A 21294-nucleotide genomic window follows, 5' to 3' on the forward strand; every position below is an offset into this window, starting at 1 on the left:
CTCCTGCTTCACATTGTTAACTAATGTGGTGGCTGACCTTGTTCCCATTTCTGGGGCTGGGGGAGGCCCTCGCTGTCTGGAGACAATCTGACCAACAGTCATAACAGGGACCTGGGCTCCCCTTAGGGGGCCCCACTCTCTTCAGGGTGATTGTTTCCTTGTGCCTTAAACTCCTGACCCAGTCCAGCTTTTAATTCATTATTCATCAATTTTCTTAGTCCACTTAAAAAAAAAAAAAGTGGTAGAGTTGCTGCTCAAATAAGAGGGAGTGGAGGGTGGGGAGTAGGGAGAGTGGCATTCTGGAAAAAAGGACAACCCTGTCAAAACATGACAGCCGATCCAATGCCTGCTTTATACTATTCACAGAAAATGCCAAATTCTGCAAATAGTAACCACATGTACATTGGCTTCACAGACTCAATGTTCTGCGGCGAAATGCGACGTTCTTTATTTTAGTGTGTCATCAAAGGCGATGAAAATATCATTCTAGCCTTCTAGGCTTAACCCTGTGGACTCTCGATGACTAGAAGTTTCATGTGAGCAGCGCACACACCCAGTCAGCGTGAGCAGCAGCACTGGCCCACGCAGGTCCACGGCACGGAAAGGAGATTCGATTCACAAATCTGTTACCCGGACATTTTTATTCATCGCCACGAGATCATTACAGCGACAAGCCCACATCTGACGTTTATGATCTTGTTCGCTTTGCCAAAGTGGAGGAGGGGGGCAGACAGCTTGGGGGATCTACAGCAGGAGGGAAATGGCACCACTCAGACTCCTGCAAGCTCGTCAGCCACTGCAGGGATTCTGAAGACCTTTTTTCTCGTCCAGGCTCCGCTGGCTGGTGCCTTCCAGGTTTTCTTTGGATGCATGAGTACGAGCTTGTTAGCTCAAATCTGTTGTGCAATTGTCCTTTTTGTGTGCCTGGCTGGATTCCCTCGCACTAACATTTAAAAAGAGCCCATGCACAGAACTGAACAGGGGATAAAGATTTTGTGCACGACAGACCTGACTCAACCGCAACCAGCTGGCGCTTCTGCTGGGCTCTACTCTTGCCTAGGAATGCTTCTAGCACCTTCCGCATGACCATTGGCTCTAAAGATGCCTCCTGTTTATCTTCTCCTCCTTAACAAATAGTCTCTGTAGCGGCTGCAGTAAATCTCTTTCAGTCTGGAGGCAACAGCCCTTGGGTGTTTGTCCTTTTTCCTCCCTCCGCTTCTCCCCCCTCAGCCTGCGTGTGTCTTTGACAATAATTGTCTTTGACAATTATTTCAAAATGTCCGTACTTTTGGCCTCTTGATGACAAAGAAAAGAGCCCGTAAAGTGCAAGGAAACTTCTCTCTATTTCCATTCAGACCGCAGTACACAGGCAGGGCAGCAGGTCCCGGGGAAAGGGGCATTTGCCTGCTCTGTTTCCCAGTTGAGGGGCAGATAATAAGCGGCAGGGGCTTCTGCCTACAGCCATCATGACACAGGACCCAACTCATCCTTTTTTAATGGCAATAAATAAATGACGGAAGTTTTAGCCACTAGACTAGTGAATTGGTGGTTAAGCCTCAGGCTTTTATCTCCCTGACCCCTGTTTGAACTCAACCTTGGTTCCTAAGTGCAGGGCAGACAAAGTGGGGTGGGAGGAGGGTTTCTTATCGACATGAACACCCCTTCCAGCTCAACATAAAGAAATATGATGCCATGTGTGTGCCTGTGGCTCAGAGCAAAAGAGGGTAGGGAAGGATTTGTTGGGACAAAGTGAGAAGAGACTTAAATACCAGCTACTATTTCTGGATGTCTATCCCATAGCTTAAGAGTTTAATAGAGAACATATTAATGAATTCCACTAGCATTTATAGAGGGAGGGGATTATCAGTTGTGTGCGAGGCCCTGTGCACACTGCTGGAGGTAGAAGTTTAAAAAGACAAACTGAGGAAGTTGGAAATGGGGAAGCCCAAAGCTGACACCAGCCCAGGTGAATATGTATTGAACCATGAATATGTCAATCACTGTGTTAAAACACTTTATGTGCATTATTTCACTTTCTTCTGTTTATCTTCTCCTCCTTAACAAGTTGTTGGAATCCTCACAACAACTTTATGAATCAGGTACTCTTGTTTTCTAATTTTACAGATGAGGCAGTTGTGATTTAGAGAAGTTATGTAATTTATCCAAGGTTACATGCGTGGGAAATGAAGCCAGGATAAAAATCCTCATCTAACTCTGTATTATATCACTTTCATGAAAAAAAAAGTGCTTACTGCATGAGGTTCTCTAGTTTGATAGATGATGACTCCATTTTCCAGTCAAGATTCCATATGCATATTCTGGCAATTCCGAATGTATTCATGAAAACTGTGGGTCTGACTGTTTGAGATTAAGATACTATCTTTATGCAGTCCATTTTCTTATCTGAAAAATGAGCATGATGATAATGATCTTCAGTGTCTCTTGGTCTGATAGTTTTCAAAATGGTTTAGAGAATAAATGCCTGTATGGAAACTAGGTTTGGATGCCTTCTTGGCGATAACTGTTCACCGTGCCTTCCAGCAAGATTCCCAAGTACTTTGCCTAAGCCAGGCTTCCAACATTGTGAGTAACATGTTGAGTTCTAGAATAGTTCTATCCTAATTAGGTACACAGTACTACTCTAAATAGGAATAAGGCAAAGGGTGAATGTTGTTTCATAGTGGTTGCTAAGGTGGATGATCAAGAAACATTCATCATGTGGGATAGTGTACGTATTTGATGCCACAGATATGCTTTCTGGTTTAATAGTTAAGAGCAAGTAGGCATCTTAGGCATTTATATGTTTGTTTTGTTTTATGCCAAGGGAAGGCTTGGATAACTTGGATGTCAGAAGATCTCCTCTCATGTTCCCAGCTACTGTCCTAGAAACCAATCTACCCGTTCCATTAAGACAGACCTCTGGGCCGGCTGCGGTGGCTCACACCTGTAATCCCAGCACTTCGGGAGGCCAAGGCGGGCAGATCACCTGAGGTCGGGAGTTTGAGACCAGCCTGACCAACATGGAGAAACCCCATGTCTACTAAAAATACAAAAATTAGCCGGGCATGGTGGCAGATGCCTGTAATCCCAGCTACTCGGGAGACTGGGGCAAGAGAATCTCTTGAACCCGGGAGGCAGAGGTTGCAGTGAGCTGAGATCACACCACTGCACTCCAGCCTGGGCAACAAGAGTGAAACTCCATCTCAAAAATAAAATAAAATGAAAAAAAAAAACCCTCTGGTTCTTCTGGATCTAGACTGTGGTTGTATGGTTGTCTGAGTAAGACCAATGTAGGTATGATTCGCCTAAACAACCTACCACAAGTTAAAAAAGAGCAGCCTTTAGGCACAAAGACCCAAGTCTTAGGGAGTCTTTGAAAGGAGAAACCAAAAAATACCTGGGTATGTTACTTAGGAATTATAACATGCCCAGGTATTTCATTGCCCAGTGGAAAAGCCTAGCCATCTTGTGTCCCAGCTTCAGTTTACTCCCATTCCCTTTATCCCAACAAGATTACCCCTAACCATGCCTCCCATTTTAGCTTCCCAGGTTGCTGCTTTCTCTCTCTCTTTCCTTAAGGTTCACATCTGACTCTCCTCTAAAGTATGGATTAAGACCCACATTATCCCTTTGCCTGACTGATTCTGTCGACTATGAGACACGATGCTATGACAGGAAGTACTCCGGCTTGAAGTTAACTGCACTACGGGTTGAATCCTGAAATCCTGACTCAGTAGCATTTTGTCTTTGCCTCCTTTGCCGAGTTTTCTAGCTTCATAAAAATGTCAATTCCCCCATCTCCCAAAGGCAGGGAAAAACTGAAATTACATAGATAATATCAGATGACATATCTAGATGGACTTGTAGTTGGTGCTCATTAAATGTGAATTCCTCACTGTTTATAGGCACAACTTGTTTTATTGCACCTCACCTTATTGCGTTTTGCAGATATAGCATGTTTTTTACAAACTGAAGGTTTGTGGCAGCCTTGCATTGAGCAAGTCCATTAGTGCCATTTTTCCAAAACCATGTGCTCATTCTGTGCCTCAGTGTCAGCGTTTTTAACAATAAATTATTTTTTAATCAAGGTGTGTACTTTTCTAGATATAATGCTGTTGCACACTTGATCGACTACAGTATAAAATAAACATAGTTTTCATATGTACTGGGAAACCAAAAAATTGTGTGACTCTTTATTGCAATATTTGCTTTATTGCAATATTTGCTTTGTTGCAGTGATCTGAAAGCAAACCTGCAGTACCCTGAGGTCTGCCTGTCAATGCAGAGCTTACAGATGCACCTTCTTTTGCTCTCCACTTCCTCTATGAAAGAAATGCAGAATGTTTTTCTTCTATGCCACTTACTATGGGAATCAGGCACTTAATAAACACTGCTAATCAACAGGATGGAAGAATTAACTAATAAATCCCTTCACAGAAGCATGCCAAGTTTTACATGATGGCCAATACGTGACCTCCTTGGGAGACAGGGCAAAAAACTGAAGTTTCTCTTATTGGGGAAAGTTTCTTCACTCTTCTTCTTCTTCCTCTAGTAATAATAATATAATTAATTAGCATGGAAACTTCTTTTAAAAAGCTTCCATACACACTGATGAGAAAAATAAGTTTACTAGGAATAAAGCAGGGTCCAGAAGTATGAAAGTATTTATTTGAATGGTATCATTCCCCACCTCAGGGAGGGTATCTGTCATGCAGGATTGGTCTGGATAAGTAAGCTAAGGGTTGAAGTGAGTTCAAAAGAGCTGAACCAGGCTGGAAACACAAACGCAAGCTGTGAACATCACCTGGAGGAGCTCAAAGCACTTCAGTTCTGGTTCTTTCTCTAGACTTTAGAAGAACAAAGGTCACGAAATTTATTATTGGCAAGACTATAAATGTCTAATAAAAATTACTTGATTATGAGCTTTTTTTTTAAATTTCAGGTTTTACACAAATACCTAAGCAGAGAGTCTTAGATTTTTTCTTACTTTGAACATACTCCCCCATTTTCCTGGCAATATATTTCCATGTTTCTTCAAAAAGCCATTCAAGAGTACTTTAAGTAACAGTTTTAAACCTCCCCCTGTTAAGAAAATATATAAAATTGCTTAAGAGAAATGAGATCGCTTTCTGGCTCCTGTAACAATTGGGGATGATGTTTAACAGCAGAAACCCAGTGGGAGTGCTCAGTCTAAATTCTGCACAGCCATGTCAACAACCAAATTCCTAAGAATTTCTTCCTCATTGTCCCAGTGAGGCCGCAGCAGGATCAGCTACTGGCTGGGCTTTTTGGACACCACCCACCCCCGGCAATTTACAGCTAGCAAAGAGCTGTAGATGGAGTGACAGCTGCCCATGCCAACACAGTCACACAGGACAGGGCAGCTTTCCTACACCTGACTGGGCCTCAGCCTCATGGACAGGAGTGACATTACAGAACGTGCAAGGTCTCCAAACAGCCCTTCTCCTCCAGGTCACATTGTCACCTTTTTTGCTTGTGCCAAAGTCCTTCCCAGATGTCTATGCAACGGAAGTAAAATTTATACTCGTGGAGCCTTAAAATGCTGACATTCCATGTTTACAGGGATTGTTTACTCAGAAAATTAATCAGTTACGGTTTTAAATTTTAATTAAATAATGTTTTCCGGTGTTATTGCAAAACAGGCAAAAGCCCATAAAATGTATGTTTGACTGCTGTTGTGTGTTGTCTTTGGATCAAGGCACAGTCTTGAGATCAATCATGCATGATATTTTTGTGAACTTTTAACAGGACAAACTTTCACATAAATTTGGTTCATTAAAATATGTCCATCAAAATAAAAGTCATTCTGAGAAACTCTCTGGAATTTCCTTTTTCTTTCTAATCGGCAACAAATGATTTTGTACTTGTCCTGTAAATAAAAATATGGGAGGGAGGTAAGCAGACACTCAGTTGTGCAATAGACTGCTCTTTGCCAATGAACCAGAAGTAACTTCATAGGAAGTTATCCATTCCACTCACATATTGGTCAAGAGAGAATTATTGGTTCAGTGAACATTGGCATGGTGAAAATATTTTGGTTCCAGATGGTGATGTGTGCGAGGCATATTCTTAAGCTTTCTCGCATATTTTTCCATTTTATTTCTTCTTTACCTTGTTTTATTTATCTGATTATAAAACAAATATGTGATTCTGATACAAACAAGGAGAAAACTACATGAATTAAGAGATTTAATAACCTCCCTCTTAATAAATATGATTAACACATCTCTATTTTTGTCAGTGCATCTACTAACATCATTTATGTATTTATTTGCATAAAACTGTTACAAATGCCAAATAGCTCACCAAATGTGCATAATCTTTGTCCACGGAGGCTCAAAATCTAGTCCTAAAACTACTGATAATAGTTACTATAATATCTCAAGTTAAAAGAATATATACTAGCCAGGAAAATTTGCAAAATCTTAAAACCAAATTGATTTATCACAGAATATTTACCAGTATAAAAAGTATAATATTACATCTGTTTTATGTTATATATTGCTTAATGACTCTATTTTTAATTTAGTTTTCTTATGTTTTCTTTTTTGTTTTCGTTTTGTTGTTGTTGTTTGAGATGGGGGTCTTACTTTGTTGCCTAGACTGTAGTACAGAGGCATGATTATAGCTCACTGCAGCATCAAACTGCTGGGCTCAAGGAATCCTCCTGCCTCAGCCTCTCAAGTAGTTAGAGCTATAGGTGTTTGTCACCATACTTGGCTAATTTTTTTAACTTTTTTTTTTTTTTTTTGTAGAGATAAGGTCTCACTATGTTGCCCAGGCTGGTCTTGACCTACTGGCCTCAAGGAATCTTCCTTCCTCAGACTCCCAAAGCACTGGGATTATAGGCATGAACCACCATGCCTAGCCCTTTTTAAGGATTTCGCAGTGTATCCTAGAGCTCTTCTAAGGGCAGTACACATAGCACAACGTCATTCCTTTTCAATATAACCTATAATACCATTGGATGAGTCCTCTAGTCATGTCTCTACCTTTTGAAAAACAAATCTTTTCACATTGGCTACTGAGTCATTTGGACATGACCCTGGCAGTCTTTTATAATCTCCTTGATATCTGGTATAACAATATGTTCTAACACCATTTTGTATATTTCCTATGCCAGTCATGTAATCAGCCATTTCTCACATTGAAAAATAAATCTTTTCACATTGGCTGCTGAGTCATTTGAACATAACCTTGGCAGTCTTTCATAGTCTCTTTGATATCTGGTATAACCATATGTTCTAACATCATCTTGTATATTTCCTACTCCAGTTGTGTAATCAGCCGTTTCTCCAAGATGAGCTGGTTCCTTCTAGTAGGGAATTGTACTAAGAGACTGCAATCTGGGAGCTAGGAGTGCTCATTGTTACTGGGTTGATCATTGTGTCTGTTTAGTGGAAAAATTAATAAAATGTTTTGTTTATAGGATAAAATACATTAGGAGTTCTTATTAATACTTCCTATTCAAATTCAGGACTATGAGATTATTAGTGAACCTCGTGTACTCTGTTTCACACCAAGACTTGTGATTTTTAAGATCAGTAAGGATGACAGGATTAGAATATCACTTACTTGTTCTCTTTATTCCACATTACCCCCTAGATCTGTCTCAAAACAGTAATATTAACATGACCACCAAAAATATGATTAGTACTAACAGTTAACATCTTTTTGTAATGCGGTCCTTTTTGTCCTTAAGTTGTTCTCTAGAGGTGTGTGCAAATTTTGTATTTTAACAAAAATATATTCTTACTGGATTATTACGTAATCTGGCAATATGTATTAAGCTTCTTCTAAAAAGACCTCCATATCCATTAATCCAGGAATTATACTTCTAAAACTTTAAAGCAACAATAAAAAAATCTGGACAAAACTTTATTTTCAACAAAAATTTCCTATTTATTAGAGGGAAAAAATAGATGTAGCCTTCTGTCCAAAAATACAAAAGTACTTAATTAAATTGTAATGATTCATCCCTTAGAATATTATGCATGTGTTACAAATAAGTGAGAATAAATAACCAATAGAACAAAATGATGTAAGCATTTTTGTAGAAGAGGAAGAAAAGCAGCAGAAGAATGACAAATGTAAAGATATGAAAATCCCCAAATTACCACTGGAGAGCACTAAAGAACAATCTGAGAATGTTAGACGAAGCCAGGGAGGGGCAGGGATAGGGGTGGGGAGGATCAGGGGAGCTGCGGCTACCCATTCAAACATAATGGGCTAAGGTCTGAGCTAGTTGAAGATGTCTAAGCGATAAAATATTTTTCTTTTTAAATTTTAAACTTTTTATTGAGAAGTAATTTCGAATGCACAGAAAAGTTAGAAGAATTAATACAAAGAACACCCATATACCCTTTAGCCACACTGCCCATTCTTTACATTGTATATTATGTTTATCCCATTTGCTCTTTTTCTTTGTCCATGTTTGTGTATGTAGGTATATCTCTATATGTACCCATTCACAAAATATATATTTTATTTTTTTTCTGAACCATTTGAAGGTAAGTTACATACTTTATGGTGAATAACCTCTAAGTTGCTTGGTGTGTTTTTCTTAAGAATGGAGATATTATATCTAACTATAGTATAGTTATCAAATTCAGTAAATTTTACACTGTTTATTTTATTTAATCAATTATCCATATTCAAATTTTTTCAATTGACCTTATTAATATTACTTATAACATGTTTTCCCTTCAGTGCAGGATCCAGATAAAGGTCAGGTATTGCATCGATCTGCCGGAGCTCTTCATATTCCTTTAATCTGTAAATTCCGTTATCTTGTGTATTGTATGCCATTAACATTTTGAAAAATACAGTCTTTGCCCTTTTTGATAGAAAGGGCCTCATTTTGGATTTTTCTGATGTTCCGTTATGATTATATTCAGGTTAGATATTTTAGGACAGCAGTATGTAAGAGATGTGCTTTCTCATGGTATCACATCTGAGGAAACCAATATCCATTTGTTCCCCATTGGTAATATTAGTTTACATTATCTGTTCAACCAGCTATTTGATTTCTCCACTTTAAAATTATTCTATATATAGTCAACTTAAAGTAGTCTGTGGGGAGCCATTTTAAAAATCAGGTAAATATTCTGATCCTTAACAAAATGTTACCTCTGATTTAGCAACAATTGATTGTCCTTGACTGATTTACTTTTTACTATAAGAATTGCTAAATACTGATGTGCCAACCCCAGCTCTCTCTCTCTCTCTATATATATTTTTTAATATATATATATTTTATATATATATTATATATATATATTATATATATATAATATATATATAATATATATATAATGTATATATAAAATATATATATAATATATATATATTATATATATATATATTCTTTTTTTTTGAGATGGGATCTTGATCTGTCACCCAGGATGGAGTGCTATGGCACAATCTTGGCTCACCGTAGCCTCCACCTCCCGGGCTCAAGCCATCCTCCCACCTCAGCCTCCCGAGTAGTTGAGAGCACAGGCACACGCCACCATGCCCAGCTAGGTTTTTTTTTTTTTTTTTTTTTTTTTTTTTTTTTTTTTTTGTATTTTTGGTAGAGAAGGGATTTCACCATGTTGCTGAGACTGGTCTCAAACTCCTGAGCTCAAGCGATCCACCTGCCTTGGCCTCCCAAAGTGCTGGGATTACAGCATGTGAGCCACCATGCCCAGCCTCTTTCTATATATTTACCAATTAACAATTACTATTCTGCTGAACACATATCCCTCTCATCTGTGCTGTTTATTTGACAATTTATTATATGTATGAACTCATAAATCCTGATTTTTCAATGGCACATCATTTGTTCCTATACTTTATTATTTTAGATGCTGCAAGTGTTTTATATTTTACTAGGGGGAAACCACATCAAGTTGGCTTCAGTGTCCTTGTGATGTATCTGCAGTTGTTCTTTCCTTAAATACTTTTATTTACTTTTAAACATAAAAAAAAGTTCTAGGCTCAGCTGGGTGCTGTGGCTCACGCCTGTAATCCTAGCACTCTAGGAGGCCAAGGCGGGTGGATCAAGAGGTCAGGAGTTCAAGACCAGCCTGGCCAAGATGGTGAAACCCCATCTCTACTAAAAAAAAAAAAAAAAAAATCCAAAAATTAGCTGGGCGTGGTGGAAGTCTCCTGTAATACCAGCTACTCAGGAGGCTGAGGCAGGAGAATCACTTGAACCCGGGTGGCAGAGGTTGCAGTGAGCAGAGATCACACCACTGCACTCCAGCCTGGGCAACAGAGTGATACTCCATCTCAATTTAAAAAAAAACAAAGTTCTGGCTGGGCGCGGTGGCTCACGCCTGTAATCCCAGCACTTTGGGAGGCCGAGGCAGGTGGATCACGAGGTCAGGAGATTGAGACCATCCTGGCTAACATGGTGAAACCGCATCTCTACTAAAAAATACAAAAAATTAGCCAGGCGAGGTGGTGGGCCCCTGTAGTCCCAGCTGTGTGGGAGGCTGAGGCAGGAGAATGGCGTGAACCCGGGAGGCGGAGCCTGCAGTGAGCCGAGATCGCGCCACTGCACTCCAGCCCGGGCGACAGAGCGAGACTCCGTCTCAAAAAAGCAAACAAACAAACAAAAAAACAAAGTTCTAGGCTTTTTTTGTACTTACCTTGTGAAGCTTCAGAACCATCCATTCTCCAAGGATCCCTGGGTTTTTTTTAAGTGAGGCATTGGAGGCCAAGGTATCAGAGGTAGGTATGCTAGTTGTTACTGAAATGTCTTTGTTGCGTGTGAGCTATGAACTCTTGGTACTAACAACCTGACACTCCCTACCAAAACAAAGATCCACATTGAGAAGAAACTGTCAGAAATATCTCCCTAATTGGACAAGGATGGTAGATATAAACCATCAAATAAATTGTCAGATTAAAACTGTGGAAAAGAACAGGGGAGGCAAACTTTTCAGAAGAGGCACATAATCTTATTACTTTATAGAAACAATAAAAGTGGTCTTTCTAGAACTATGAAGCTGAGTAAATTATGCATATGCAGACCTAGTATCCAAAAATTAAAGATAAACTAGGTGTCTAAAACTTGAGCAATAGAAAATGGTGGCTTTCACATTCATAGATGTTGCTTATAAATTAAAGAAAATAAAGAAAAGATTGTCCCTAGAGACCACAAAAAAATTCTAGAAAGATATATTCACAAAGCAGATAAACGCTGATGTTTTAAAATGAGCTAAAAGGAGTAAACAAATTAGGAAAATCGTAGATGCTATGATACAACAATAAAAATTAAAATTAGATAAATTCAGAGATGAGGTGATCTGAGAAAAAGATTTAAAAAGAGGTGACAGAAAAAAAAAATTGAAAAGGAAAAACAAATGTCAAAGAATTAGTAATTTTGAAAACACAAGAACAATTAAACATAACAAATAAGAACTTAAAAGAAGTATAAGATGAAGAAGGATGAAAAAGAAAAAAATTAAGTTCAAAAAGATGTAAAGAGAGAAATACAAAGGATTTGAAACAAAAAGAAAGTAGGCTAAGAAAATCTAACATACATATAATAGGAGTCTTGAAATAAAAAAACCCAAAAATGCAAAAAAATTCAAAAAACTGGAATTCAAGAAAATGACCTAAATAAAAGATTGCATATTAATATTTATATACATGTAATATAAATGATATATATCAATATCAATATTTATTTATAAAATATTTTTATATATTACATATGAATATTTATTTATAAAAGGAATTAACAGCTATGACTATTGATGGTATCTTGTATGGGTACACAGTTCCCAGATTCTTTTTACCATAAAGTACCTACTTTTTCATTACTTCAAATCATAAGGTCCCAACATCAGGTAGGAAAAATAAATCATGCACAATTTGAGGTCATAGGGAGGATGCCAGGAATTTAGTGAAAAATTGGGAGGGTGATTAAGAGCTGAGGTTCAGTAGCTGAGAAAAAATTTTCTGAGGAAGGAGTAAAGAGTCATTAGACATGAATAACTAAATATGGGATCTTGGCAAATATCTAGCTTCTTTGAATCTAAAAAAGCATAGTTTTCTTATGAAACTGAGATTCAAATGTTAACACATTTTGTCTATTTAATAGGATTGTTATGATGACCAAACTAGTTAATAAGTGTGAAGGTGTTTTTTTTTTTAATCATTTGTTTGGTTTATTATTTTCCAGCTTTATTAAGATAGTATTGAAAAATTAAAATTGTAAATATTTATGCTGTACAATGTGATGTTTTGTTACATGTGTACAGCATGAAATGATCACCACAATCAAGCTAATTAACATATCCATCACCTCACATAGTTTCCTTTTTTTTTTTTTTTAAGATGGAGTCTTGCTCTGTCACCCAAGGTGGAGTGCAGTGGCGTGATCTCAGCTAACGGCAACCTCCGCCTCCCAGGTTCAAGCGATTCTCCTGCCTCAGCCTCCCAAGTAACTGGGACTACAGGCGACCACCCCCACACCGGCTAATTTTTGTGTTTTAAGTAGAGATGGAGTTTCACCATATTGACGAGGCTGGTCTTGAACTCCTGACCTTGTGATCCGCCCTCCTCGGCCTCCCAAAGTGCTGAGATTACAGGCGTGAGCCACAGCGCCAGGCCAGTTTCCATTTTTGTGTGTGTGGTAATAATGTTTAAGATCTACTCTCTTAGCAAATTTTGTGCATACAAACAATGTGAAGGTGTTTTCACAAATATAAAAAAGCAAAAATTGCATTTTTGTTCTAATTGCTAATTGTTATTCTTTTCATAACTCAAACAAAGATGTCTTTAAAAAGATATATGAAAATTCTACTTCTAAATAAAAAATAGATATGATATCTGGCTCCCTCTTCCAAGACCAATCCAATAAAAATTTTTAGAGGAAGAATAACTAGAGAGAAATAGTGAAATTATATTCTCAGATAGCAGAGTACTGTTTTGAAATGGTGTGTATGAGGAATCTGATTGCTTTTCCATCCCCAGGTAGGAAGCATCCTGGCATAGCTATGACATATTGAAATAGGAATGGTAGTTCTGGAATTCTGATATCGTTCTTCTGTCATTGCCTTGGAACAAAATATGTCTACTGCCACATTTGTGGTAGCTCTGGGGGATGTCCTCAAGAGTTATATATTAGCTCAGCCTTGAACATAGCTGGGAAAAATGAGACAGAGGGAGTAACTAACTCCAAGTAGTAGGTTGTTTATACCATCCATCAAATACCCCTGGGCTAAAGAAACAATTTGAGATTATAATCTACAATTTCATTTACCTTTCCCAAAAAAGGATAAAGTCTTGCCTAAGCAGTTGGTTGTGGGAAGTGATATGATTGAGTGGTTCCTGGAGCCAGTCTTTATTCCATCACTTTTTGCTACTTTTCTTCTCCCCATTCTTCCAGTGACTTTATTGGGGCTGACTCACAATTGGGCCTGACTTTACACATTATGTATTACCTGACAGAGTATTTGATATTTCTAGGGGAAAATAGGCTCAAATGTTAAAATAACAAGACATTTGAGGACCCAGTCTTTTTCAAATGAATATCAACTGAATGATGTATTTCATTAGAGGTAGATAAATAGGGAAAAAATTTAAAAGCAGATTAACACAATAAATGTACAAGAAAATATTAGCAATATGGGGCTAAAATATTCAAATAAGCAGAAACATTAAAAATGAAAAAATAATAGTTTTGATAAATAATTCAATAGACAGAATAAATGAGAAGAATGATATATGAAGTAAAAATGATAAAATATCTAGAAAGAAATTTGTTGATAATAAAACAAAATAAAGCTAGAGAAAAAACAAAACAAAAACTAAGATGTGTTTACCACAAACCAGAATTAAAAAGACTTTATCATATTGCATTAGTCTGTTTTACACTGCCATAAAGACATACCCAAGACTTGGTAATTTATAAAGAAAATAGGTTTAATCGACTTACAGTTCCACATGGCTCCCCAGCCATGTGGAACTGTGAGTCCAATAAACGTCATTCTTTTGTAAATTGCCCAGTCTCCGGTATGTCTTTAATCAGCAGCATGAAAACAAACTAATACAGATTATTAATCTATTTTCAGATGAATAGTTTGCAAATATCTTTTTTCCATTCTGTGAGTTTTCTCAATTTGTTTTCTTTGCTGTGCAGAAGATTTTTAGTTTGATGTAATCCCAATTGTCTATTTTTGCTTTGATTGCCTGTGCTTTTGAAGTCTTACACAAAATATCTCTACCCAGACCAATGTCCTGGAACATTTCTCCAATGTTTTCTTTGAGTAGTTTCAAAATTTCAGGTCTTAGATTTAAGTCTTTAATCTATTTAAATTTTTTTTTGTGTATGGTGAGATACAGGGGTCTAGTTTCATTCCTCTACATATAATTACCCAGTTTTCTCAGCACTATTTATTGAAAAGACTGTTCTTTTCTCATTGTATGCTCTTGGCACCTTTGTTGAAAATGAGTTGGTTGTAAATGTGTGCATTTATATCAGGCTTCTCTATTTTATTCCATTGCTCTATGTGTCCATTGTTATGATAGTACCATGCTGTTTTGGTTGCCAGCACTTTGTAGTAAGTTTTTTTCGCTTGTTTTTTTTTTGTTTGTTTGTTTGTTTTGTTTTTTTTTTTTTTGAGATGGAGTTTCGCTCTGTCACCCAGGCTGGAGTGCAGTGGCACGATCTCGGCTCACTGCCTGGGTTCACGCCATCTCCTGCCTCAGCCTCCCGAGTAGGTGGGATTACAGGCACCCGCCGCCACACCCGGCTAATTCTTTTGTATTTTTTAGTAGAGACGGGGTTTCACCATGTTAGCCAGGATGGTCTCGATCTCCTGACCTCGTGATCCGCCCACCTCGGCCTCCCAAAGTGCTGGGATTACAGGTGCCAGCCACCGCTCCCAGCCTGCAGTAAGTTTTGAATTCAGGTAATGTGATGCCTCCAGTTTTGTTCTTTTTGCTCAGGATTGCTTTGACCCTTTGTGGTCTTTTGTGGTTCCATATAAATATTAGATTCTTTTTTTTCCATTTCTGTGAAGAATGCCATTGGCATTTTGAGAGTGATTGCATTGAATTTGTCAATTGCTCTGAGTAGTATCATCATTTTAACAATAGTAAGTGTTCCAATCCATAATCATGGAATATCTTTCAATTTTTTGTGTGTATACACTTCCATTTCTTTCACCAGAGTTTCATATTTTTTTAATGTAGATCTTTCACTTTCATTGAATTTACTTCTAGGTATTTTGTATTTTCATAGCTATTGTAAATGAAATAGCTTTCTTGATTTCTTTTTCAGATTGTTCACTGTTGGCATATATAAATGCTACTGATTTTTGTATGTTGATTTTGCATTCTTTACTTTAGGAATTCACATCAGTTTTAACAGCTTTTTGGTGAAGTCTTTAGGATTTTCTAAGTATAAGATCACATTGCCTACCAATAAGGCTAATTTGATCTATTCCTTTCCAATTTGGATACCCTTTCATTCTATTGCTTAATCGTTCTGGCCAGGACTTCCAGTATTATGTTGAAAAATAGTGGTGAAAGTAGGCATCCTTGTTGGAAAAATGGGATGGAAATTATGTTTAATTGAATTTAAAGCTCATGCTTCAAAGTACACCATCAGGAAAGTAAAAATATAATCCAGTAAATGTGAGAAAATATTGGTAAGTTATATATCTAATAAGGACTTGTAGCTAGAATATAATAGAACTCCTACAACTCAATTAAAAAAAAAACTCCAAAGACCCCAAAATGGGCAAAGGATCTACATTGACATTTCTCTTTAAAAAGTTACATAAGAATCAGTCGGGCGTGGTGGCTCACGCCTGTAATCCCAGCACTTTGGGAGGCCGAGGCGGGCGGATCACCTGAGGTTGGGAGTTCGAGACCAGACTGACCAACATGGAGAAACCCTGTCTCTACTAAAAACTACAAAATTAGCCGGGCATGGTGGCACATGCCTGTAATACCAGCTATTCAGGAGGCTGAGGCAGGAGAATCGCTTGAACCCGGGAGGAGAGGCTGCAGTGAGCCGAGATGGCACCATTGCACTCCAGCCTGGGCAACAAGAGTGAAACTCCCTCTCAAAAAAAAAAAAATAGTTACACAAGAGTCAATTAGGATATAAACAATGATTAATATCATTAGGGAACAGCAAATCAAAACTACAGTGAAACATCATTTACAAACACAGAATGGATATAATTATAAAAGCAGAAAACAGCAAGTGTTGGTGAGGATGTGGAGAAATCAAAACCTGCACACATAGCTGGTGGGAATATAAAATGGCACAGCCATTTTGGAAAACAGTCTGGGGGTTTCTTACAAAATTGAACTTAGAATTAACACATGTCCCAGCAATTCTAATCTTAGATACATATCCAAGAAAAATTAAAATATATGTGTACACAAAATATTATACAGAAATATAAATAGCATTACTCATAATAGCCAATAATAGCCAATAATATTTGTGTAAACAACCCAAATATTAATCAATGAATGATTGGATTAACAAAGTATCGTATATCTAAACAATAGAATATCATTCAACTATTAAAAGAAATGAAGTATTGACACACAGTGTGATATAAATGAATCTGAAAAAAATGAAGTATGTTAGGTAAAAAAAAGCCAAAAATGAAATACTACAAATGGTATAATTCCATGTGTATAAAATGTCGCCAAATGACAAATCTGTCAAAATAAGTAGTATACAAGTGGTTGTCTAGTGCTTGGGGGTGACAGAGAATAGGCATTGACAGCTATTGAGAATAGGGTTTTGGGGGCTATGAAAATATTCTAAAATTACATTATGATGATAGTTGTACAACTCTGTGAATGTACTAAAAACTATTGAATTATGAGCTTTAAGTGGGTAAGTTGTATGGTTTATGAACTATATCTCAATAAACCTGTTATAAAACAGGTGTACAAATATTACCAACTATCTGCTAGCAACTTAGAAAACTGAGATAAATGGACATATCTCTAGTAAAATGTGACTTATAGTTAATTCATGAAGTAATAATAAAGCTTAATTAGTCCCATGGTTTTTAAAGAAACTAAATAGTGATTTAAAATTTTCTCACAAGAAAACTCCAGACCTTGTCTACTTCAAAGTTGAGATCTACAAAAGCTTTAAAAATAAAAGGATTGTGGTCCAATTTATTCTGAGTTCAGCATATGCTTGTTACCAAACCCAAAAATGTTATAGAAAGACAAAAAAACTGTAGAACCACACTTGTTAATAAATATAGATATGAAAATTCTAAATATAAAAATTTTAAATTAAGTCCAACTCTGGAGAAAAGATAATACAGCAAAACCAAATTGGATGTATCCTATATATTAAGAATTACTCAACATTAGAAAATTCACTAATGTGATTCTTTTAATATGTTACCGTTACTGTAATGTATTTTTTAATATGTTACCATGTTACCACACATTAACACTTAATATATTACCACAGTAAGATATTAAAAGAAAAAATCTGTAAACAAATAAAGCATTTGATAACATTTAACATAATTTCTTTTTTAAAATAATTTCAATGTTTATTTTAGATATGAGGGTACGTGTAAGTTTTGTTACATGGGCATATTGGGTTTGGAGTACAGATCCCATCACCCAGGTAATGAGCGTATTACCCACAGGTAGTTTATCAACCCTTACCCAACTCCTTCCCTCCTTGATATGGTTTGGGTCTGTGTCCCCATCAAATTTCATGTCAAATTGTGGTCCCCAATGTTGGAGGTGGGGCCTGGTGGCAGGTGGTTCTATCCTATGAGTGGATTTCTTGTGAATGGTTTGGCACCATGGTCCTGGAGCTGTTCTCATGATAGTGAGTGAGTTCTCATGAGACTTGGTTGTTTAAAAGTGTGCAGCACCTACCCCTTAGTCTCTCTTGCTCCTGCTCCCATCATGTGAGGCACTTCACTCCCCTTTCAACTTTCACCAAGATTGGATGCTTCCTGAAGCCTCTCCCAAAGCAGAAGATGCTATGCTTCCTGTACAGCCTGTGGAAACATGAGTCAATTAAGCCTCTTTTGTTTATAAATTACTCAGTCTCAGGTATTCCTTGGCAGCAGTGTGAGAACAAACTGATACCAAAAAATAGTACTAGGAGTAGGATATTGATATAAAGATACCTAAAAATGTGGAAGCGGTTTTGGAATTGGGTAACAGGCACAGGCTGAAAGAATATGAAGGTCTCAGAAGAAGGCAGGAAGATGAAGGAAAGTTTGGAACATCTTAGAGACTGGCTAAATGGTTCTGATCAAAATGCTGATAGAAATGTGCACAGTGAAATCCAGGCTGAGAAGGTCTCATATGGAAATGAGGAACTTATTTGGAACTAGAAAAAGAGTCACTTTTGTTATGCCTTAGCAAAGAACTAGGCTGTATTGTGTTCCTGCCCTAGGGATAAGTAGAACTTTAAAATTGAGAATGATGATTTAGGGTATCTGGCAGAATAAATTTATAAGCAGCAACATGTTCAAGACGTGGACTGGCTGCTTCTAATAACCTATGTTCATATGCATGAGCAAATGGCATAAACTTGGAACTTATATTTAAAGGGAAAGCAGAATATAAAAGTTTGTAAAATTTGAAGAGTGGCCATGTGGTGAAAAAGAAAAGTCCATTTTCAGGGTAGGAATTCAAGCAGGCTGCAGAAATTTGCAAAAGTAAAAAGGAACCAATTGCTAATAGCCAAGACAATAGGGAAAAGACCTCCAAGGCATTTCAGAGATTTTCAAGGCAGCCCCTTCCATCACAGGCTTGGAAGCCTAGGAGGACTGAATAGTTTCATGGGCCAGGCCCTTTGTCCCACTGCCCTTCACAGCCTTTGGACACTGGTCCCTGCATCCCAGCCATTCCAGTTTTAGCCATGGCCCAAAGGAGCCCAAGTACAGTTCGGGTCACTGCTTCAAAGGGTGCAAGCCATAAGCCTTGGTGGCTTCCATGTGGTGTTAGGGCTGCAGGTACACAAAGTGCAAAAGTTGAGGCTTGGGAGCCTCTGACTAGATTTCAGAGGAGGTATGAAAAAGCCTAGAATCCCAGGCAGAAGTCTGCTGCAGGGGTGGAGCCCTCATGAAGAACCTCTACTAGGGCAATGTGGAGGGGAAATGTGGGGTTGGAGCCCCGACAGAGTCCCCACTGGGGTACTGCCTAGTGGAGCTGTGAGAAGAGGGTCACTGTCCTCAAGCCCCGAGAATGGTAGATCCACAAACAGCTTGCACCTTATGCCTGGAAAAGCTGCAGGCACTCAATGCCAGCACTTGAAAGCAGCCATGGGGTCTGAAACCTGCAAAGCCACAGGAGCAGAGCTGTCCGAGGCCTAAGAAGCCCACCTCTTGCATCAGTGTGCCCTAGATGTGTGACATGGAGTCAAAAGAGTTTATTTTGAAGTTTAAGATTTAATTACTGCTCTGCTGAATTTCTGACTTGCACAGGGCCTCTAGCCCCTTTCTTTTGGCCAATTTCTCCCTTTTGGAATGAAATTATTTACTCAATGCCTATACCCACATTCTTGAAAGTAACTAACTTGTTTATGATTTTCCAGGCTCATAGGGAGAAGGCACTACCCTTATCTCAGATGAGACTTTGAACTTTGTAATTTTAAGTTAATGCTGAAAATAGTTATGACCTTTTTAACAATAGTGATTCTTCCTATCCATGAGCATAGAATATTTTTCTATTTATTTGTGTTGTCTCTGATTTGTTTTTGCAGTATTTTATGTTTCTCCTTGTAGAGCTCTTTTACCTCCTTTGTTAGCTGTATTCCTATTTCCATTTTTTTGTGGCTATTGTAAATGAGATTAGGTTTTTGATTTGACTCTCAGCTTGAATATTGCTGAGGTATAGAAATACTGATTTTGGAACATTGATTTTGTATCTTAAAACTTTACTGAAGTTGTTTATCAGTCCTAGGAGCCTTTTGGCAGAGTATTCAGGGTTTTCTAGGTATAGAATTGTATCACCATCAAAGAGAGATAATTTTATTTCTTCTTTTCTATTTGGATGTCTTTTGTTTCTTTCTCTTGGCTGATTGCTGTGGCTAGGACTTCAAGTACTACACTGAATAGGGGTGATGAGAGTGGGCATTCTTATCTTATTTAAGTTCTCAACAGGAATGGCTCCAGCTTTTGACCATTCCATAAGATGATGGGTTTGGGTTTGTCATAGATGGCTCTTACCATTTTGAGGTATGTTCCTTCACTGCCTAGTCTGTTGAGAATTTTTCATCATAAAGGGATATTGGATTGTACCAAAAGCTTTTTTCCATGTTCATTGGGATGATCATATGGTTTTTGCTTTTAATTCTGTTTATATGGAAAATCACATTTACTGGTTGCATATGTTGAAACAGCCTTGCAGCCCAGGAATAATACTTGATCATGGTGTATGAACTTTTTGATGCGCTGCTGGATTCAGTTTGCTAGAATTTTGTTAAGAATTGTTCATCAGGGCTGTTTGCCTGAAGTGTGTGTCTGTGTGTGTGTGTGTGTCTATTCCTGATTTTGGTGTCAGGCTGATGCTAGCTTCACAGAATGAGTTAGGAAGGAGTCCCTCCACTTCAATTTTTTGGAATAGTTCCAGTAGGATTGGTACCAGTTCTTTGTATATTTGATGGAATTCAGCTGTGAACCATCTAGTCCAGGGCTTTTTTTGGTTGGCAGGTTTTTTATTACCAAGTAAATTTTTTATGACTTCTTATTGGTATGGTTAGGATGGCTATTATTAAAAAGTCAAATAATAACAAATGTTGGCAAAGGCTACAGAGAAAAGTGAATGCTTATACACTGTTGGTGGGAATGTAAATTAGTTCAGCCATGGTGGAGAGTAGTTTGGAGATTTCTCAAAAAACTAAAAACAGCAAGTATTTAACCCAGCAATCCCAATACTGGGTAATATACAAAAGAAAACATTGTTCTACCAAAAAGACACATATACTCCTACATTAATTGTGATGCTATTCATAATGGCTAAGACATGGAGTCAACCTAGGAGCCCCAAAATGGTGAACTGGATAAAGAACACATGGTGCATATACACCATGGAGCACTATGCAGCCACAAAAAAAGAACAAAATATGTCTTTTGCAGCAACATGGATGCAGTTGGAGGCCATAATCCTAAGAGAATTAATATAGAAACAGAAAACCAAATACTGCATGTTCTCACTTATAAGGTTGCAGTGAGCTGAGATCATGCCATTGCATTCCAGCCTGGGTGACAAGACTGAAAAAAATTTAAAAAAAACAAACATATAACTAAA

General features: G+C 37.7%; 1 long non-coding RNA gene across 1 annotated transcript in view; it reads left to right on the forward strand.

Annotated features, from left to right (window-relative positions):
- The window catches only part of LOC105370991 (uncharacterized), a 152871-nt gene extending 150306 nt beyond the window's left edge, over nucleotides 1-2565 (forward strand). The window contains exon 12 of the long non-coding RNA XR_002957693.2: nucleotides 416-2565. This is a non-coding gene — a long non-coding RNA (uncharacterized LOC105370991). The remainder of the gene's footprint in view (nucleotides 1-415) is intronic.
- The last annotated feature ends 18729 nt before the right edge of the window (nucleotides 2566-21294 follow it).

Source organism: Homo sapiens, chromosome 15 (assembly GCF_000001405.40).
Source record: "Homo sapiens chromosome 15, GRCh38.p14 Primary Assembly".
NCBI lineage: Eukaryota > Metazoa > Chordata > Mammalia > Primates > Hominidae > Homo > Homo sapiens.